At 39.4% G+C, this 23253-nt stretch overlaps 2 pseudogenes, besides 1 other annotated feature; one reads left to right on the top strand and one right to left on the bottom strand.

Moving 5' to 3' along the window:
• Window positions 5038-6789, top strand: YWHAEP5 (tyrosine 3-monooxygenase/tryptophan 5-monooxygenase activation protein epsilon pseudogene 5; annotated as a pseudogene).
• On the bottom strand, window positions 14371-15396 carry RPL15P5 (ribosomal protein L15 pseudogene 5; annotated as a pseudogene).
• Window positions 21931-22604: an enhancer, noted in NCBI's record as "OCT4-NANOG-H3K27ac hESC enhancer chr2:139028884-139029557 (GRCh37/hg19 assembly coordinates)". NCBI's record gives its function as "activates a minimal SCP1, AML or CMV promoter by ChIP-STARR-seq in naive H9 embryonic stem cells {active_cell/tissue: H9 hESC(naive)}" and the evidence as "EXISTENCE:reporter gene assay evidence [ECO:0000049][PMID:30033119]".

Here is a 23253-nt window from a genome sequence, read left to right as displayed (position 1 = left end):
CAGATGAGATGAACTCTAATAAGTGGTTAAAAAGAGAGAAAAAGATCATGTTAACTTAGAGGTCTAAAACTTAAAAGAAAGGCATTGTTTTTAATTATCTAGAAAAGGCTTTTTCATAATTAGCAATGCTACACACATGCACTCATGCACACACATGTTCAAATCTGGGCACACATATACTAGCACATGTGCACATACACACATACACACACACACACATACACACACCCTCCAAATTTGGGATACCTTAATTGGAAGATGCTAATTTCACATCATATAAATTTTACACATTTACAAGAAAATACAAAGCAGACATCATGAATTGTTCTCTAGAAAAATATCACAAAAAGGTAGAAGTTTATGTAATTCGATATAATAAAATATAAGTGTAATGACAATTACTGCAGCTATCAATCTTCAATAATTTGTGAAGAATCCAACCTCAAATGCAATGAAGCCTTATAAAATTTGTGATTACAGAGTGTAAAATATAACAGATGCTACAATATTTAGATGCCTGCTGGCATTTACCTTTTCCTCTGCACAGTTCATTTCAACTATATGAAAATTTTATGTGTTACGTAAAAGTAGAGAAAAAGAAACTGAATTGCAAAATAACCACATGAGAATTGATGGTGTGTTTTCAGCAATGTGGTATTTGATTCTTTGGATCACATGAACTATGCAAGAAAGTAGAGAATTTGATAATACATATTATTTTCAGTTTCATATGGTGACAGTTGCATAGGTCAAAAAATAACACTGATGTTGAATTTAGTTACTTTCTCTACGCATTCAGAGCTGATTTTTTACGCTGGGAGGCCTACTATTCACTGAAGAAATGGTCTTGCTATGAGGGTTGTAGTGGAAGGATAATGGCATTGGTGCCATTTGAGATATAGCCAATGTTATCTTGCTTTTGATTTTTATATTTTAAATTTTAAATTTTTTGAGATGGAGTCTCACTCTGTCACCCAGGCTGGAGTTCAGTGCTGCAATCTCAGCTCACTGCAACCTCTGCCTCCCAGGTTCAAGCGATTCTCCTGCCTCAGCCTCCCGAGTAGCTGTTATTACAGGCACGTGCCACCAAGTCAAGCTAATTTTTGTATTTTAGTAGAGACAGGATTTCACCATGTTGGCCAGGCTGGTCTCGAACTCCTGACCTCAAGTGATCCACCCCCCTCAGCCTCCCAAAGTGCTGGGATTACAGGCGTGAGCCACCACAACTAGTCGCCAATGTTATATTTCAAAAGCAAGATACTTAGAGTGTAACACCTGGTTTTTTAAAAATACATTTTGCAGGTTATCAAATATCAGTCTTCTCATTTAAAAATTATTATCTTATCTATGATCACATTGTAAACATGATATTAAATATAGATACTATTTTTGAAGATTTTTGTTTATTCTTTTTAAAAATTTATTTTTTATTTCCCATTATATCAATTATAGGTTTTTCAGAAAAAAAAATAATAATAATGAAAAATTCTCGAGACCTGCAAACTAGAAACCCAGAAATCGTTTTTGGACACCTTCGTCTTCATCTTTCCAATATCCAATAATTCATCCATTTCTATCAATTATATTCTCTAAATATCTGTTAAGCCTGTCTGATTCTCTCCATTACCACTTCCACTATTCTTCCCTGGACTGACTCCCATAATTAAAAGCCTCTTAATTATTCCCTTCTGCCTGTACTTCCTAATGAAGTCCATATTTTATTCTGTTTTAAGATGTCAATCTGATCTTGTTCTACCTTTATTTACTTCAAGGGATTCCCACTGATTTAGGGTAAAGACCAACATTCTTAGTATGGCCTAAGAGAACTGAGAGGGTTTTGCAACTGTCTACTCCCAGCTTCCTCTCCTTCTACTCTTTCCCGGCTCCCTGTAGTCTAGATTCCACTTCCAGGTCTTGAAACCTCCCCGCTTCCTAACCTTTGTTGAACCAGGAACTTTCTCCAAACCACCAAGCTTCCAACTGAGGTACATGGGTCCTTGGATGTGCAAGAAGGTGTACCATGCACATTGAGAGTTTAAACAAGTCCATTTCCGGATCCACAACACCCATATGAATTTTTCCTCCAGATGACCTCCCTCAGGAACATGTCTGCAGGTGAGTCATCCCTCTGTTTCTCCTCTCCATTTCCATTTTCACAATCACTCTTCTTTTTCTTTACAAGCAAAAGAAAACAAATAAAAGAAGGTGTTCCTCTCATTCATTCTGATTCTTAATGTGGAACGCTGCATATTGAAATCTCTGGGGCACCAAAAGAGAGGCAATACAAACTCTCAGTGTCAGTGAAGGCAGCTTTAGTCAAAAGGCTAGATTCATTTTCTTTTGATACATATTTCTCTTAAGGGAAAGTGAAATATTAGAAATGAGCTATCGTGGCCTGGATTGAATGCACTTTCTGAATTTAGGGATTTTGCGGAGTGGGTCAGCAGGAGTAGCGGCAGTTTTGCTTTAACCGTTTCACATCTTTCAACCCCCACCATTGTCAAAAAAGCATTGCTCCTTAACGGAGAGTCTTGAAAGAGGATAGCAAGGCAAGGGGCAGTAAGAAATATTGAAGACATCAATTGTGAATGGGAGTTCACTCATGATTTGGCTCTCTGTTTGTCTGTTATTGGTGTATAAGAATGCTTGTGATTTTTGCACATTGATTTTGTATCCTGAGACTTTGCTGAAGTGGCTTATCATCTTAGGGAGATTTTGGGCTGAGACAATGGGGTTTTCTAGACATACAATCATGTCATCTGCAAACAGGGACAATTTGACTTCCTCTTTTCCTAATTGTATACCCTTTATTTCTTTCTCCTGCCTGATTGCCCTGGCCAGAACTTCCAACACTGTGTTGAATAAGAGTGGTGAGAGAGAGCATCCCTGTCTTGTGCCAGTTTTCAAAGGGAATGCTTCCAGTTTTTGCCCTTTCAGTATGATATTGGCTGTGGGTTTGTCATAAATAGCTCTTATTATTTTGAGATACGTCCCATCAATACCTAATTTATTGAGAGTTTTTAGCATGAAGGGCTGTTGAATTTTGTCGAAGGCCTTTTCTGCATCTATTGAGATAATCATGTGGTTTTTGTCTTTGGTTCTGTTTATATGCTGGATTACGTTTATTGATTTGCATATGTTGAACCAGCCTTGCATCCCAGGAATGAAGCCCACTTGATCATGGTGGATAAGTTTTTTGATGTGCTGCTGGATTCGGTTTGCCAGTATTTTATTGAGGATTTTTACATCGATGTTCATCAGGGATATTGGTTTAAAATTCTCTTTTTTTGTTGTGTCTCTGCCAGGCTTTGGTATCACGATGATGCTGGCCTCATAAAATGAGTTAGGGAGGATTCCCTCTTTTTCTATTGATTGGAATAGTTTCAGAAGGAATGGTACCAGCTCCTCCTTGTACCTCTGGTAGAATTCAACTGTGAATCTGTCTGGTCCTGGACTTTTTTTGCTTGGTAAGCTATTAATTATTGCCTCAATTTCAGAAACTGTTATTGGTCTATTCAGAGATTCAACTTCTTCCTGGTTTAGTCTTGGGAGGGTGTATGTGTCAAGGAATTTATCCATTTCTTCTAGATTTTCTAGTTTATTTGGTAGAGGTGTTTATAGTATTCTCTGATGGTAGTTTTGCTTCAAAGAGAATAAAATACCTAGGAATCCAACTTACAAGGGATGTGAAGGACCTCTTCAAGGAGAACTACAAACCACTGCTCAAAGAAATAAAAGAGGACACAAACAAATGAAAGAACATTCCATGCTCATGGATAGGAAGAATCAGTATCGTGAAAATGGCCATACTGCCCAAGGTAATTTATAGATTCAATGCCATCCGCATCAAGCTACCAATGACTTTCTTCACAGAATTGGAAAAAACTACTTTAAAGTTCGTATGGAAAGAAAAAAGAGCCTGCATTGCCAAGTCAATCCTAAGCCAAAAGAACAAAGCTGGAGGCATCACGCTACCTGACTTCAAACTATACTATAAGGCTACAGTAACCAAAGCAGCATGGTACTGCTTCCAAAACAGAGATATAGACCAATGGAACAGAACAGAGCCCTCAGAAATAATACCACACATCTACAACCATCTGATCTTTGACAAACCTGACAAAAAGAAGAAATGGGGAAAGGATTCCCTATTCAACAAATGGTGCTGGGAAAACTGGCTAGCCATATGTAGAAAGGTGAAACTGGATCCCTTCCTTACACCTTATACAAAAATTAATTCAAGATGGATTAAAGACTTAAATGTTATACCTAAAACAATAAAAACCCTAGATGAAAACCTAGGCAATACCATTCAGGGCATAGGCATGGGCAAGGACTTCATGTCTAAAACACCAAAAGCAATGGCAACAAAAGCCAAAATTGACAAATGGGATCTAATTAAACTGAAGAGCTTCTGCACAGCAAAAGAAACTACCATCAGAGTGAACAGGCAACCTACAGAATGGGAGAAAATGTTTGCAATCTACTCATCTGACAAAGGGCTAATATCCAGAATCTACAAAGAACTCAAACAAATTTACAAGAAAAAAACAAACAACCCCATCAACAAGTGGCGGAAGGATATGAACAGACCCTTCTCAAAAGAAGACATTTATGCAACCAACAGACACATGAAAAAATGCTCATCAACACTGGCCATCAGAGAAATGCAAATCAAAACCGCAATGAGATATCATCTCATACCAGTTAGAATGGCGATCATTAAAAAGTCAGGAAACAACAGGTGCTGGAGAGGATGGGGAGAAATAGGAACACTTTTAAACTGTTGTTGGGACTGTAAACTAGTTCAACCATTGTGGAAGTCAGTGTGGCGATTCCTCAGGGATCTAGAACTAGAAATACCATTTGACCCAGATATCCCATTACTGGGTATATACCCAAAGGAATATAAATCATGCTGCTATAAAGACACACGCACACGTGTGTTTATTGCGGCACTACTCACAATAGCAAAGACTTGGAACCAACCCAAATGTCCAACAATGATAGACTGGATTAAGAAAATGTGGCATATAGGCCTGGACGCGGAGCGAGAGGCTGAGAGAGTTAGAGACACTATCCACTTCCATCAGTCACGCAGACCCTGCTGGAGCCACTGCTGCTGTGGATGATCGAGAGGATCTGGTGTACCAGGCGAAGCTGGCCGAGCAGGCTGAGTGATACGATGAAATGGTGGAGTCAATGAAGAAAGTAGCAGGGATGGATGTGGAGCTGACAGATGAAGAAAGAAACCTCCTATCTGTTGCATATGAGAATGTGATTGGAGCTAGAAGAACCTCCTGGAGAATAATCAGCAGCATTGAACAGAAAGAAGAAAACAAGGGAGGAGAAAACAAGCTAGAAATGATTCGGGAATATCAGCAAATGGTTGAGACTGAGCTAAAGTTAATCTGTTGTGACATTCTGGATGTACTGGACAAACATCTGATTGCAGCAGCTAACACTGGCGAGTCCAAGGTTTTCTATTATAAAACGAAATGGTACTACCACAGGTATCTGGCAGAATTTGCCACAGGAAATGACAGGAAGGAGGCTGCGAAGAACAGCATAGTGGCTTATAAAGCTGCTAGTGATATTGCAATGACAGAACTTCCACCAGCGCATCCTATTCGCTTAGGTCTTGCTCTCAATTTTTCCATATTCTACTACGAAATTCTTAATTCCCCTGACCGTGCTTGCAGGTTGGCAAAAGCAGCTTTCAATGATGCAGTTGTAGAACTGGATACGCTGAGTGAAGAAAGCTATAAGGACTGTAAACTTATCATGCAGTTGTTACGTGATAATCTGACACTATGGACTTCAGATATGCAGGGTGATGGTGAAGAGCAGAATAAAGAAGTGCTGCAGGACGTGGAAGACAAAAATCAGGGAGACATAAGCCAACAAGAGAAACCATCTCTGACCACCCCCTCCTCCCCATCCCACCCCTTGGAAACTCCCCATTGTCACTGAGAACCACCAAATCTGACTTTTACATTTGGTCTCAGAATTTAGGTTCCTTCCCTGTTTTTTTTTTTTTTTAAAAAAACAGTTTTCAAAAGTTCTTAAAGGCAAGAGTGAATTTCTGTGGATTTTACTGGTCCCAGCTTTTAGGTTCTTTAAGACACTAACAGGACTGCATGGAGGCTTTTTCAGCATTACTGTGTTGTCTCTGTGCCAGATGTGGCAAGATCACCATTAGAAATGGAAATTACATTTGAAAGCCATTAGACTTCTAGGTAATGCAAGCATCTAAGAGAGGTTAATCACACTATAGAGGCATAAGTGGTATCAGTTTTCATTTTTCTAATTGTTTAAACTGTATTTTATACCAATGTTTGAAAGTAATTGGGTGTTAGCCTGAGATGGTTACAGGTCGTTTGGGGAGGGAGTTGTAATGGTTTTGCTGTAAAAAATGTTTCAAACTGTGCTGAAATGTTGCTGAAAAGCATGGTGCCGATAACAGTTCAACCATCCATGGCTGCTCATTCTTGCCTACTTTACTCTCCCACTGAAGCAGGTTAGCGTTGAAGGTGGTATGGAAAAGCCTGCATGCCTGTTCAATTCTTTGTTTCTTCTCCTTCCCCCTCCCACTACCTCCTTCCCCTCATTCCTCCCCTCCTTCGCTCGCTCAATCTCTTTTATTCAGTATGTGTAACTTGAAGCTAATTTGTACTCCTGGATATCTGACTGGAACCACAGATACAGAATCTTTATTGTTCTTACTGAAACACAGCATGGAATTAGCATTAAACTTAAATAAAACAAACCTAAATTAAAAATGCCAAAAAAAAAAAAACAAAGAAAATGTGGCACATATACACCATGGAATACTATGCAGCCATAAAAAAGGATGAGTTCATGTCCTTTCTGGGACATGGATGAAGCTGGAAACCATCATTCTCAGCAAACTATCGCAAGGACAAAAAACCAAACACTGCATGTTCTCACTCATAGGTGGGGATTGAACAATGAGAACACTTGGACACAGGAAGGGGAACATCACACACCAGGGCCTGTTGTGGGGTGGGAAGAGGGGAGAGGGACAGCATTAGGAGATATACGTAATGTAAATGACGAGTTAATGGGTGCAGCACACCAACATGGTGCATGTGTACATATGTAACAAACCTGCACGTTGTGCACATGTACCCTAGAACTTCAAGTATAATAAATATATATATATAAAAGAAATATTGAAGACATCAGTATTTATTTCCTACATGTGGCAAACTAGGAGAGACTTCTCTCCTTTATCTGTGTGTTCATCTAAATTTCTCTTTGTCTCCTTTGTCTACTTTCTTATCTTAGAATATTCAAACTTTGTAAAAAGCAGTCAGAAATATCAATCTACTCTATATTTTTACTGGTTTCATTAATGAAAAAAACCCTGGGTACTATGATTATTCACTTTTTACATAGTCTTTGTCTCAGTTACGCATTTTGTATTATTTCTAGGAGAAGAAGCTAATAATTGCAGTGTTTACTTCTTATATACCAATGCTATCTATTTGATTAAAAAGAACATACAATATGCTGGGGTGAGTTAGACTTTATTTTGAACATCTACTTAGGATTGTGGTAGGAAAATTTTCCTTCATTTTTGCCAATGCTTATGGATAATACCAATTTTGTATTAGTTATTTTACTTGAAGTTATGTATGTATTATACCCCAAACTCTCTGCTAGTCATCAATCTCCTGTTTTCTATTAGCTCCAACTTGTTCAGATGCCTTCTCCAGAGCACGCATCTGTACTGGTTGTCCTGGCTGGTACACAAAACTTATTCTGGCCCTTGCTCTTACTGTATACCGGAAATCCTGTCACCTCCCTTTGTGTTGGATTTGCTGTTTCTGTATCCCTGGTGTTTCTCTTTCTTGCTAAATGGAACCCATCCTTGTGAAGTTTCCTGAGAAGAGTGATTAGGAAGCAAATGTCTTTGAGACTGGCAGATTAGAAATACTCCTATCTTTACCATTGAGAGCTTAGCTGATGTTGTAGACTGACTAGTGACCACCCAAATATATCAGATCCTAATCCCTAGAACCTGAAGATAGTGCCTTATAAGGAAAAGGTCTTTGTATATGTGATTAAGTGAAGGCTCTTGAGATGGGGAGATTACCCTGGATTATAATGGTGGTCCCTAAATGCAATCACGTAATCCCTGTAAGAGAGAGGCAGAGGGACATTTGATGCAGACAGAAGAGGAGAAAACAATGTGACCACAGAGGCAGAGATTGGATGGATGTAGCCACAAGCCAAGGAATATGGGCAGCCACCAGAAGCTGAAAGTAGCAAGAAACAGATTTTCCCTGGGGTGGAGCATAGCCCTGCAATTTATTTCAGACCTCTGGGCTCCAGAACTTTTAAAGAATAAATTTCTGGTGTTTTAAGCCGCCCAGTTTGTGCTATAGGTTGAGTATCCCTTATTTGAAATCCCTGGGATTAGGAGTGTTTTGGATGTGGGATTTTTTCAAATTTTGGAATATTTGAATATACATACTGGTTGAATATTCCTAATCTGAAAATAAAAAAATATGAGATACTTCAGTGAGAATTCCCTTTAAGCATGACCTTTGAGCATCACATCAGTGCTCAAAAAGTTTCAAAGTTTGGAGCATGTTGGATTTTGGATTTTTGGATTGGGGATACTCAACTTGTTGAGCATACTTCTGTTGCAACAGCCACAGAAAGCTAATGCAACTGGAAAACATTTTTCTTTGTAATTTTTGTAGCATTTTTCTATCATTATCCTGCTTCTAATGAAACTGTTTAGAAGTCCAAAGTCATTTGATATAAAGGTTGTGTTTTTGTTAGCAAGGGAAAGGAATATGGCTACTTTCTTGATTCAAGTTGAAAATTCATTTTATTTTATTTTTTCTGAGATGGAGTCTTGTTCTGTTGCCCAAGCTGGAGTGCAGTGGCATGTTCTTGGCTCACTTCAACCCCCGCCTTCTGGGTTCAAGTGATTCTGTTGCCTCAGCCTCCTGAGTAGCTGGGACCACAGGCACGTACCACCACGCCCAGCTAATTTTTGTATTTTTAGTAGAGGCAGAGTTTCACCATGTTGCCCAGGTTGGTCTAGAACTTCTGACCTCAGGTGATCTCCTGCCTCAGCCTCCCACAGTGCTGGGATTACAGATGTGAGTCACTGTGCCCAACCCTGAATATTTATATATCATTTCCCCCCTCTGCACCATCCCCTGCAAGCTTGGAGTCTCCTCTTTGCCCAGTGTTCTGAAATTTCATGATGGTTCTCTTGGCATGAGCCTATTTTCATTCATAATACAAGGGGTGGGGCACTTGGAGTATATTTTCAATTTGGAAACATAAGTCAGTTAGTTCTGGAAAATTTTCTATTTTTTAGATAATATCATCATTTCTATCATTGTTTTCTCTTCTGGAATGCCAGTTAGTAAGATATTAGACTTACCTAACTGATCCTCTAATTTTTTTATCCTTTCTCTTTTGTCTCCTTCATATTTTGCTCTATTTCCTGAGAAATGTCCTTGGTTTTATTTTCTAACCTCTGTATTTCTTTAAAAAATAAAACCAACCATTCATATTTCATGATTACTACATCTTTTTGTATCTTTCTGAGATTTTTTTTCTTATGGAAAAATCGCATAACATGGAATTTACCCTCTTAACAAACTTTTCAGTATACAGTAGTGTTAACTGTCTGCACATTCTAGATATCCAGAAGGTTTTCATCTTGCATGACTGAAACTCTGTACACATTAAATTGCATATTAGTTGATATTCTCCAGAGAAACAGCACCAAATGACAGATATACATAAAGAGATCTATGAAAAGAAGTTGGTTCACATGATTATGAAGGCTGACAAGTCCCAAGATCTGCATCCTACAAGCTTGAGAGCCAGGAGAACTGAGGATATAAGTTCCAGTCTGACAGTGGCCAGGCTTGGGCACTCTGTGGCCCACTCAAGCTGACACATAAAATTATCCATTACAAATAGCAACTCCTCATTTCTCCCTCTTCCCAGCCTCTGGCAACCACCATTTTACTTTTTTTCTATGAGTTTGAATACTTTAGACTTCATATAAATGGAATCAGCTGTATTTGTCCTTCTGCTACTGGCTCATTTCACTTAGCATTATGTCTTCAAGGATCATCTGTGTTGTAGCCTATAACAGGACTTCCTTCACTGTTAAGGCTGAATAATAATTTGTTGTATTATTTTCTTAATCCATTCATCCGTCAATGGACATTTAAGTTGTTTCTACCTATTGGCTATTGTGAATAATGCTACAAAAAACATGGGAATGCTAATATCTCTTTGAGATCCTATTTTCAATTGATTTGGATATATACCACAAGTGGGATTGCTAGATCATAGGACTACTCTATTTTTAAATTTTTGAGGAAATTATTTATTGTTTTTCACAGTGGCTGTAGCATTTGACACTGATGCCAGCAGTTCACAAGGATTCTAATTACACCACATTCCTGCCAATATTTGCTAGTTTGTTTTTCTGATAATAGCTGCCCTAGTAGGTATGAGGTGATATCTCCCTGTGTTTTTGATTTATATTTCTCTGATGATTAGTGATGTTGAGCATCTTTTCATATACCTGTTGGCCATTTGTATGTCTTCTTTGGAGAAATGACTCTGCAAGTCTGTGAGTCTATTGCCCATTTTAAAACTTGTGTCATTTGTTCTTCATGCTATTTGTTTGTAGGAGTTCTTTATATATTTTACATATTAACCCCTTATCAGATACAGTTTGCAAATATTTTTCCCCTTTCTCTAGGTTGCCTTTTCACTTTGATTGTTTCTTTTGCTACACAACATTTTTTGTTTTGGTTTAGTCCCACTTGTCCATTTTTGCTCTTGTTTCCTGTTATTTTGGTGTCATATCCATCTCTGGGAATATTGATAATATTTTAATTTTGTTTAAATTTTTTTTCCTCTTTGTATGGTCTATTGCTTCCAAATTTTTTTTTATTTTTGTTCTTGTTTTTAAAATTAAAATTTTTATCTTTCTTATGAGAAGACTCCCTCCATCCTTTTGTAACCTGTGATTTAAGAGTAGTGGGAAAGGCTGTAGGAAGCTATAAACAGGTAGGTGGGACTGGGTGATTGTAGATTCACTGCAGGAAAATCTGGGTTAGTTGCTTTTTGGAGCAGCCCCTTATATTCATCTCTTTAGGTCTTTTCTCTTGTGCTGCCTCCCAGAGAAGATGCATCCAGCATCCTGCCTACAGGGTAAAGACTTGGCTGCCAGTACTAGAGTAGCTGATGAAGGAAGAGGAATGCTGGGAGAATATCAGCCTTCAGTACAAGGGCATCATTTAATCTTCATTTTCAGTACTCTACTTTAGTGTGCATGGTAACCCAAGCCCAGAGGCCTTCTGTTTAAAGAAAAAACAAAAAACTTCCAGCTCTTTTCTGCGGTAGGGAGGAGGTAATGTGAATGAGGGCCAGTGCTTCTGGCAGCCTAAGCAACCACTGACTTAGAGGAAATAGAGAAACCATGTGGGTGAAGGGTGCATACTCTTGGGATGAAAGACAAGGGAGCCAAAGGAAAGGAGGCAGTCATCAGGCCTGTCAGAGTAGCCTGCAAACAGGTATGGCATGGCCTGGTAGTAGCAGGAGCACCTACGGCAAAATCAGAATGACACAGACAACCAAAGTTCAAGTTAACCAAAGTTAGAGTTGTGGACACACAGCTCTAACCCTGAGCCTACTGAATAAAAATCCAAAAGTAAACAAGACATTGCAGGTGACGTGTATGCAGCTTCAAGTTTGAGACACATTGCCCTATACAATACCATGCAATCAATAAATGTGTCCCCCAAACTCGCCTGCACATTCAACTCAACTTGGGAGTTAAAAAAATACTGCTCGGCCTTAGACTAGACTAATTGAATGAATAGCTACAGGAGATCGGGCTCAGGCATAGCTAAGTTTTAAAAGTTCTTCCAGTGACTCTGATGTGCAGCCAAATTATAACCATTTACCTGTATATGAAGGCCACTACATTTATTTCTCATTTAATAAAAATAACACATATGTGACATCTCTGAGCAATCAGTCATTTATAAAGATGTTGTTGTGTTCTTAATGTGATTTGAAAATATTTTTTAGCAATATCTTAAAAATAAAAAAGGACAGCATACATGTCAAAAGCAAACTTCTTTCTATGAAACAGGCAAATTGAAGTTATTGAAATTACGTGGAATTCACATAAAAGTAATTGATGAAATAGCATTGGAAGCTCAAGTAATGAATGCTGAGATGATTTGCATTTTGGAGAAATGTGCTGGCCACCCTGTGAACCCTCATGGCCTCCAAGAGATTTAACTTTCAGGATCCCTGTGCTAGATTACAGATGCCGCACAAGCAGGGACACTTATTTGATTGCTGTATTTTAATTCATACAAAGGCATTGTTGATTGAGTACCCTAAGCCAAATAAATATATGAGCCACCTAACATAATGAGCCACTTATGTTAGGCACTTGTTCACATTCATAAAAACAACAAATGATATAATCTTGATCAAACCCTTCCTAATAAATGGTGACTAAAAGATATCTGGTGTTTTCTTTGTGTGCAATTTCTTTCCAAGATATGTAGGAAACTGATTTGCTTTTGATGAACTTGTGCTGCCTACAAATTAATGTCCACAGATTTCCTACTTTATTAATTGTCTCAGCAATTTAGCCAGCAATGATTTATATGAAATATTCCCTCTTGTTGCAGGCTCTACAGTCAGCTAATTGATTGCTGTATGAATTATGCATCCTAAGCCAAATGCAAGGATGCATGAAAGAGGCAGCCAAGGTCATTTTCCACCAAAGAGAACTACAGTAACTAAATGCCTTTTAAAGACAGGCTTTATTACTTTAATTTTGCTGCTTTCTTCATATATACATCAAGTACAGAATAATGTGCAAACTCTAAAGTCATACTTTTAATTTATAAACAGACACAGACAACCAAAGTTCAATATTCTGTAGCCAGACAAGGCTTATAATGGAATTAATTTGGTAGAGATAAGGAAAGAACCAGAAATGGCATATAAATGTTCTTTATCTGATTCCAAAATATGCCATATCTCATCAAATTTGCCTATAGTTTATTAACACTCAAAATTGACTATTCCAAAAATAAGCATTTTAATTAGATGAATGACACCTTGGGACCAAGTGCAGGGTATCTGGCATGACAGCAGATGACAAGAGATAGTTTGGAAAAGTTACGATCAATTATCATTTATTCATAGGAAGACGAGGAACGTTTTATACATTTTAGAGGATGTATAAAGGAGGGGATATATGTGATGCTTCACTAAAACTTACAGAATTAAAGCAATCTAGTTGGAGTAGTGAAAAGATTTTGATCTTTGGGGTCTCAGTGGCTTAGTTTGAATTAATTATTGCTTAGCCATCTATTAGTTGAATGACTTTAGGCAATGTAATCCTCTGGACCTCCGTTTTCTTATGAAAAAATGGGCATAATAATATTTTGCTTGCACGGTTACTATAAAAATAAGCATGACTAAAAGAGCTAGTGAAATCAACAACTTAGCCTTAGTTAGTACCTTGATCCTTGGGTAGTACACAATAGAGTGCACTACCAGATAGAGATAAATACCAGACACATTCCTTGACTTACAAGTTGCATGTAAGGCTTGTAAAGAAACCCTCTAATTTTCTATTTAAAATCACCCCCAAATGGCTATGGGACCATATTACTATATGCCTCTTTGGTTTAGAAACCAAAGAAACATCTTTAATAGGAATATTTTTATATGCCCAGAGAACTCTTCTCAGGCATTGAACAAACCACAAAAAATGTTTCATGACAAACCAAAGATGCCCTAGGCACATCACACCACACTCAGGCTGTGATAGATAATGTGTGTGCTATTACTTCATATTAGGGGCACAGATGCCTCAGAAGAGAGGAATTAATCACAAACTCTTTAAACCAGTGTTTCATGCCTTAATGCATATAGCAATCACCTGGGGGTCTTGTTAAAAATGCTGGTTCTGGTTCAGTGGGTCTGGGATGGAGCCTGAGATTCTGCCGTTCTAACAAGCTTCCTGGTGATATGATGCATCTGGACCATGGACCACAGTTTGAGTTGCAAAGCTGAATGCTTTTCAAACTTTGATACACATGAGATTCACCTGGAGATCTTCTTAAGAATAATGATGCTTGAGTTCTTAGTCCAGGCAAAACCCTGGGGTTGAATTCTCAGCTTAGATATTCTTTTAAAGCTTCCTGAGTGATCTTTCTATGTAGAGCTGTGGTTGAAAACCAGTGTTTTAGATGTAAGGGTTTCCTCTTCTTGCTAATTACATTGACAACATTGTAATGTTTTGTTCAATATCTAGTTTCATTGTTTCAGTGGCACCTGTCTCAGATCACCTGGAAGCTTTTTTTTTTTGACTCCTCTTTTAAAGAATTTATTTTGAACCTATCATAACACCACTGACATATAACTCCCTAATAAGATAAAGCAAAAACAAAAAGTTTATCATATTAGAAATAAGATACACCATCACTTACAGTCTTCAAACATTATTGCACTTTAACTTTCATAATTTGACAAAGCATTCATGAAACAATCTGCAGACTAGTTTTAACAAACAAATAACACCTGTAAGCAGACATGACTGCCCTAAATTGTTTATTAGGTATGAATTTTACAAACTTTACTTATATTAGTGGTAACGGTGGAGCTGGAGAGTATTGCACCTTCTCCAAGCTGCGCAGCAAGAACTACCAATAGTGTGGTGGAACTTATGGCCCTTTCCAAGGCGGCGGCTCTTTCAGCCTGCAGATGTCAGCCCACGCATTTCCCTGTGCTTGTGGACTGGTTTGGTGATCCACTGGGTGTCAGGATTTCTTCTGATAGCTTTATGGAATGGATCAATGAGGATAACCTCAAAAAATTTGTATGTGGAATCTTCACCAACCCAGTACGAATTCAGGACTCTTAGAGCCCCACAGTGGTGTCCAGCTTGCTCCTCTGCAACGGACTGAAGACTTTGGGCAAACTTTAACTAGTTAACTCCATGATGGACAGGCTTGCCGTTAAGTTACAGCCTTAGGAACTGGGCATTTCCAGCCACCACGGCGAACACAAATCCTATATATAATGTAACCTTGCTTGGCTTTGTAGCCCAGTCGGCATGCTTTATCGGGCTGGGTGGAGCGGGGAGCCCTGTGGAGAGCAGAGAGCTGCCACTCTGTGCCAGCCCTGTGGAGAGCAGGGTACTGCCAGCAGCGGACCCTCAGAAGAAAGTGCATGACATCAGACTGCTTCTTTCTCCACAGCTCCTGGATGTACTTGTAAGCACCTATCTTGGCCTACCTGATGGCTGCCACCAGACAGAAAGGAAAGAGTCTTACTCCCCACCTGGAAGCTCTTAAAAAAAGACTGCTGAGGCCTAGGCGGGTGGATCACGAGGTCAAGAGATCAAGACCATCCTGGCTAACATGGTGAAACCTCGTCTCTACTAAAAATACAAAAATTAACTGGTCGTGGTGGTGCACACCTACAGTCCCAGCTACTCGGGAGGCTGAGGCAGGAGAATCTCTTGAACCTGGAGATGGAGGTTGCAGTGAGCCGAGATCGCACCACTGCACTCCAGCATGGCAACAGAGTGAGACTCTGTTTCAAAAAAAAAAAAAAAAAAAGAAAGAAAGAAAAAAGAAAGACTGCTGGGCACCATCCTCAGAGTTACTGATTCAGGAAGTCTGGCTGGAGTGGGGCCTGAGAAATTTCTTTTCTAACAACTTAGTTATTGATCCAGAACCCAGCTTTGGGAACTGCCACTTTATTATTTCATAAACTTCACTGGAAGAGAGATTGTGCCTATGTATCCACCATTCTATCACCTGTGCCTAGTATGTTTATGGCATGAATGAATCTCTTTTGGATGAAAAAGTGATGGTGAAACCCTGTCTCATTCATAGTGAAAACACATACAGAACATTGGAAACCTTCACCCAGCTCATTAAAGATAATGCTTGCCAATGAACCACAACAAATAACATTGGTTTAGGGATCTCTGCTACTATAGACCCTAGAGTATCTGGGGCATTTCTCATGAAAGTTCTGATTAGTTTTTCCTGAGGCACTACTTTATGGTAATAAAATTGGCATTCCATCAACAGGTTGATCGACTGTTCAGGCTTCCCTTCAAGGTGGCTTGAAATAGCAGAAGCAATAGTCTCTTTTAAATAAATAAAATTTTTTTAATACATAAAGTCTCTCTTAAAGGGCCATCTGCTTTCAATTTTTCATTTAAACCTTCTGAAGGCTCACCAAGTGCCATAAGATAAAGAGAGCAAAAGTAAGGTGTAGCATCACAGGCAATAATATTCCTATCATTGCCAAAGTACTATAGGGATTACTGCATAGTGGCAATTCTCTTATATCCTAAAAATATTAATGTGTTTTGATTCTGAAGGAAACCAAAATACACCACTTTCAAATATATGTCTTTAATATATTTTGATGTGGCTATTCAGAGAGGCTGCAGACCATAGGAATACCTTTTACAAGCTGTCCTTTTGTGAGGAAGATTTGCAACTGTAGAGGAAATCTACATAAGTGAAGTTGACAGTGAATACAAACAGGCTTTCTCTGAGCCCCATCCCTTATCTGCCTTTATCCACATCTAGAAAAGATTAACTCACAAACAAAGGAGACTAAAACTTTTTCCTCAGGCTCCTATCTATACCAAGAGCTGCTACCAATGAGCTTTCATCTGCATAATAAGAAAAACTTTGCTTGCCATTGTCAACCTGAAATAATTGACAGGATCAGAACCCAATTTTAAAAAGTTTATTTAAGTGAAAAGCTGAGAATAACTATCCAAGAAACATGGACTCCTGAGAAATGGGGTCAGTGCTCTGAAGTTAAAAGTTAAGTTCTTCCTTATATTAGCAGAAAACAAGGACAGTTAGTAGGATTATAACATTTTCTATATAAGCCTCGTTTATGAGTTACAACTAACTTTTTTTTAACAGCTTGTTTTCATATCCTTTCCAATTTAAAAGCATATTTAATGTTCCATCTTAGACAATGTGACAGTAATGAAGTCTTTGTGTAAGAGAGGAAAGAGGAAAGTTAATCTACAATGAAGATCAACAGTGAACAGGGAAGGGGTCTTCTCTGGCAACCTTCTGTCATTTACCACATTTTATAAAACACTGTAGGTAAAGAAAAGGCTAATTGATAACCAAAACAACAAAGATTACAGCTGCCTGCGTTACAACTGCCTGTCACATGACTCAGGTCCCATAATCACATTCCCTTAAGGCTCAAAATATCTGAAAGTTCCAACAGCTTAGATTCTGAATTACTTGTTTTCACACCATGCTTTCCTCCCATCATTCTCTTGGAATGCCACCTCCTCCCTCCTCTAGAAGCCTCAAGCCCCTAATCTTTCTGTCCCCTCAGGATGGTGTAAAAACTTCAGCCATCTGTTCTGTCCTTTGAATTTCATGTTTGCAAGGCTCCTATGTTCATGTATGTATAAATATATTTGTGTGCCCTTCTCCTGTTAATCTGTCTATTTTAAGTTTGGTTTATAGAATAAAGTTATCAAACCTTCAGAAAAGGGAGGGAAGGAAATTCCTTTTGCTCCTACAGTTTAATATTAGTCTTTTTGTAATAAAAAAAATCCTAATTTTTTTTTATTGTAAGCAGACCTTCCCTGTCTGCTTACAATTTTAATATTTCAAGGTGGATTTTCTCAGACTAGAGGTAGAAGCAGCACAGAGCTATTATGCTGATGATTCACGTTTTTGACTCTTGGGTTACACATTTATTTAATTATCATGATCAAATATTTACTTTTGTGGAAGTTCCCTGACGAGAAGGCTTAGTTCTTGCCCTCTGAGAGCTAGAGAAAAATCTAACAAATCTGATACAGGTTACTTTCCCAGATCCTGTGTTTGAATGCTGTGGAAAGAAACTACTAGGTATACCCAAATATTCTAGATGATTAAAAAAAAAGTTCAAAAACCCCTGAATCTCGCGAATCTTCTCAGAACTGTTAACAGCTATTGTCTTGATAATTTTTTATTTTATTTTTTACTTTATGGTTTTAGAGTAATTTTGTTTTTCCCCAAAAAACAGGGTTTATTTGCCTGATAACAAATAACTCTCCACAAGAATGAAGGTTTTGATCAATAGGAGTTTTATTACCTGGCCCAAGTAAGGAGAACACTGAGAGTATTCTCCAAAGCACTGTCTCCTCGAGGGAAAGTGACAAGAGGATTATATGGGGCAATATATAGGGAGAGGGTGCGTCACCACATGTAGAGGAGGGGTTCCAGTTGTGCAGAAGCAGCCAGTGATTATGCCAGTTCACAGGTTGCATGTTAAGGTAATGAAGCTACTGCTTCTCCCAGGTGGAGACTTCAGCATGGTAACAAGGGAAGTTCACTCAGACTCATCTATAAGTTGCTGGGGTCTGTCAGGAGCTGGTTCCAATCAACAAGGTAACTGCATTCCACATAGGGTTTGGAAAAAAACAGACTTCAGGGCAGAAGGCAGTAAAACAGGCTGATTGCTAAAGTTGATTAAATTCCTATAATCCCTGGAGACCTTCCCTGTCTGCTTACAATTTCAAAATTTCAAAGTTTCTTTTGCTTATGATAACCCAAGTTCTATGAGGTAAGAAGGCTTGTTTCTAAACATAATTTGTCAGAAGTGGCAGCAAGAAATTAAATAACTTGTATATGTAATCACCTGATGTGTTCATCTTGCCTGCTTCCCAGAAAACCTGATGCACTGAGAACAGCCTTTTGCAATAGAGAAGGAGTTTAGTAAACTCAGAACTGCCTAAGTTGAAGGACAGGCATTTTATTATTGCTTAAATCAGTCTCCCTAAAAATTTGGAGGCTAGGGATTTTTAAGTATAGTTTGGTGTGCAGAGGGCAACGGAATGGGGAATACTGATTAGTTGGGTTGGGGATGAAATCACAGGGAGTTGGAGCTGAAACTACATTTGCAAAATTATGGCTGAGTCAGTGAAATAGATCTAACTTAATCAACTCTATCCTGTTTCTAACCTCCAAGCTGTCCGTGTTCTTTCCTGGGCGTATGCTGAACTTACTTTGGGAGAAACTTGGTTTATAGCTTATAGTTTAGGACAAAGACAGTAACAGCCCTTTCCCAGGGCAGACTTCCTTCTTGCCTGGGGACTAGATTGCCTTTGTAGAGCTAACATTAGCCACAAGATTAGAAATTATGGTTTATGACTCATGAAGCTGGAGGCTACATGATTCTGGCCCTCCCTAAAGTGCTCCTAAGATCAGTGCTTGAGCTATTTTGCAGACCCTGCACTTGATGGATCACCTGGCACCACCCAGATTGATCAAGTGGCTCATCTGATTTTGTGGCCCCCACCCAGGAACTGACTCAGTGCAAGAAGACAGCTTTGTCTCCCTATGATTTCATCCCTGACCAATCAGCAGTCCTGGCTCACTGTGTTTCCCCCACCCACTAAGTTGTCCTTAAAAACTCTGCTCCCTGAATGCTCAGGGAGACTGATTTGAGTAATAATAAAATTCTGGTCTCCTGCACAGCGGGCTCTGCATGAATTACTCTTTTTCTATTGCAATTCCCCTATCTTGATAAATTGGCTCCGTCTAGGCAACAGGCAAGGTGAACCCCTTGGGCAGTTATAGAGGAGCTTGACTTCTTGTACTGAGTCAGTTCCTGGGTTGGAGCTTTAGCTTTTGAGACCAGATAAACCAGGTTACCAGCCTGGGTGGTGCCAGCTGGTCCATCACAATGCAGGCTCTGAAAAAATGTCTCAAACACCAATCTTAGGTTTTATAATAGCAATGTTACCTATGGGAGCAACTGGGGAGGTGAAGAATCTTGTGGCCTCTGGCTGCATGACTCCTGAGCCATAATTTCTAATCTTGTGGCCAATTTGTTAGTTTCAAAGGAAGTCTGATCCCCAAGGAAGGAAGGGGTTTATTTTAGGAAGGGACTGTTATTGAAAGACAGGACTAGCTGGATTTCCTAGGCTAAGAATCCCTAAGCCTAGCTGGGAAGGTGACTACATCCACCTTTAAACACGGGACTTGCAACTTAGCTCACACCCCACCAATCAGGTGGTAAAGAGAGCTCACTAAAAAGCTAATTAGGCAAAAACAGGAGGTAAAGAAATAGCCAATCATCTATTGCCTGAGAGCAAGCTGGAGGGATAATGATCAGGATATAAACCCAGGCATTCGAGCCGGCAACAGCTACCCTCTTTGGGTCCCCTCCCTTTGTATGGGAGCTCTGTTTTCACTCTATTAAATCTTGCAGCTGCACTCTCTTCTGGTCCGTGTTTGTTACGGCTGGAGCTGAGCTTTTGCTTGCCGTCCACCACTGCTGTTTGCCGATGTCGCAGACCCACCGCTGATTTCCATCCCTCTGGATCCAGCAGGGTGTCTGCTGTGCTCCTGATCCAGGAGGCGCCCATTGCTGCTCCTGACTGGGCTAAAGGCTTGCCATTGTTCCTGCACAGCTGAGTGCCCGGGTTCATCCTAATTGAACTGAACACTAGTCTCTGGGTTCAATGGTTCTCTTCTGTGACCCACGGCTTCTAATAGAGCTATAACACTCACCGCATGGCCCAAGATTCCATTCCTTGGAATCCGTGAGGCCAAGAACCCCAGGTCAGAAAAAACAAGGCTTGCCACCGTCTTGGAAGCAGCCCACCACCATCTTGGGAGCTCTGGGAGCAAGGACCCCTCTCCTTCCCCCCACCGCCCCACCCCACCCCACCCGGCCCCACCGTAACATTATCATCTTTGTTTTGAGGTTAAGCTATAAACTAAATTCCTCCCATAGTTAGCTTGGCCTACACTCAGGAATGAGCAAGGGCAGCTTAAAGGTCACAAGCAAGATGAAATTAGGTCACATTACTTTCACTGTCACAATTTTTGCCGAGGTGGTTAGATACAGAGTCTTACAGCTAATAGGAGAGTAGTAACAAAGTCTCTATGCAAATTTGAGGCACACAGATTATATGAATCAACTTGTATAAACAAATGGAAAAAGGGCATATTACAGCAAGTTGTATCCATAAACTAAAGAACCTGTAGATACAGAGTGTAGGTTTCATCCTTCATATTGAATGCTTTACAGTCTACATTTTTAGGACTCATGTATGTTATTTTCCCTCTGTGTAATTTCCTGCCTGATCAGTATCTCTGGCCTCTTGAAGTCTTGGTAGAAGTACTGAAGAAATGCAAACAACCCTGCTTTCTGAAAGTGAAGTGATAAGTTACTTACTATTTATTTTGATGAAGCTGGTCTAGGGAAAAAGTGCTTCAGAAATGTGTACTCTATGGGATACACAGGCAACAATGTGTATGTGATGTGTGTGTGTTTGTGTGTGCATATGTATTGCATATATGGCATACTTTTCTTACCCTAAAACTCGTGGTTAAACTTTTGTTAAAATAAAGACATCAAGTTTGTGAAGAAATATGATATATGCTGAAGATCTGTAAAACTGAAAAGAAAAAAATAAAAAGAGTGCTGCAGCGAATCAGCCAAAAAGCGAAGAAACATGTGAATCTTAGTCTAGGACTCCACTGACTTGAAGACAGTATTCATGTATGTTAGGCCTTTAGTAACACTCTGCCTAAAGAAAAGAAGGCCCAGAAGACTGAGTCTGGAAATACAGAAGAGGGATACGTTTTGCATAGCATGGTTTTAGAGTCAGAGCCAGAAGGAATGAGTGGAAGGTACTGAGAGACAGATTTAGGTTTACATATAAAATAATTTTCTAACAAATATTATTGCATTCATGAGAGTATTCTGTGTGTTTATATAATATTAACTGTGTCTTTACTCATATTTACTAATGATACGGCTCCAGTGAGTGGAGGAACACCAGGGTTTTTCGTCTGGAGTCGAATTAGATAAAATGACATGGATACATGTGGAGTGGTTTTAAGGAGCAGAGAGTTTAATAGGCAAGAAGGAAGGGAGAAGAAAGAAGAAAGAAACTCCCCTGTACAGAGACAGAGTGAGGGGCTCCAAAGCCGAGAAAGGAGAGCCCATGTGCCGAGGATACCAGCCAGTTTTATGAGGAGGCTGGAGGAGGCAGTGTCTGATTTGCATAGGACTCAGGGGATTGGTTTGACCAGCCATGTTATTCATGTAGCCTGGGAAAAAATTGGCCTTTCCACCCTAGCCTTTTAATATGCAAATGCAGGGCTCCATACTTAGGGATATGTGGGGGCAGCCATGTTGCCAGGGACACGTGGGGGCAAGGGCAAGAGGACAACGGTGAGAATCACCGTGTTGGGTGGACCCAGTTTCTAATGGCCTGCATTTGCATATCAAAGGTTGCCGCCCCTAAGAGCCAGGGCTTCTCTGCTAGATAAGAAACGTTTCTTGAGCTGCTTTAAAAAGAAACAAAAACATTCCAAGGACCCCTTTTCCTCTCTGCCTAAAATAATTTCTTCATAACTCCTACCACACGAATTTAATGTTTATAGAAATCCGCTTTACACATCACAAAATCGAAGTACCAGGATGTTATGAAATGTGCCCATCTTTCCAGTCAGGAAACAGTAGAAATGGAATTTGAACATATACTGTCGGGCTCTGAAGGCTACAGTTCACCTGTGTGGATGTGATACCTCTCTGATGCTTCAAGATATGAGATGTCCTATAAGCAAGTGATTTTTTACACCATCGAGTTTGTTTAAATGAAAAATGGGGCCAGATGTGATGGCTCACGCCTGTAATCCCAGCATTTTGGGAAGTCAAGGTGGAAGAATTGCTTGAGGCCACGGGCTTGAGACCAGCCCAGGCAACATAGTGCGACCCTGTCTCTACAAAAAATAGGAAAACTAGCCAGCTGTAGTCCCAGCTACTCCAGAAGCTGAAGTGGGAGGATTGCTTGAGCCCAGGATGTCAAGGCTGCAGTGAGCCATGATCATGTCACTACACTCTAGCCTGTGTGACAGAGGAAGAGCCTGTCTCAATAAATAAATAAAAAATGAAAAATAATGAGCCCCTGTCAAGTACATGCCAGAAGATATTTCTGCTTTAGTTAGAAGCTGTACTAGATAATCACTGATGTGATTATATAATTTCATTCTAACGTAAGTCATCTCATTTAATTCTAAGATTCTATTATTAAATAATCTGGATTTTCTAGGTTTTCATTATCTATTGAACTCTCAATATTATTGTTTTGCTATTCACTTGAGTTTACCTACAATGTAAACCATG

This window comes from Homo sapiens, chromosome 2 (genome assembly GCF_000001405.40).
Source record: "Homo sapiens chromosome 2, GRCh38.p14 Primary Assembly".
Lineage (NCBI taxonomy): Eukaryota > Metazoa > Chordata > Mammalia > Primates > Hominidae > Homo > Homo sapiens.
This window is presented reverse-complemented; position numbering and strand designations above follow the sequence as displayed.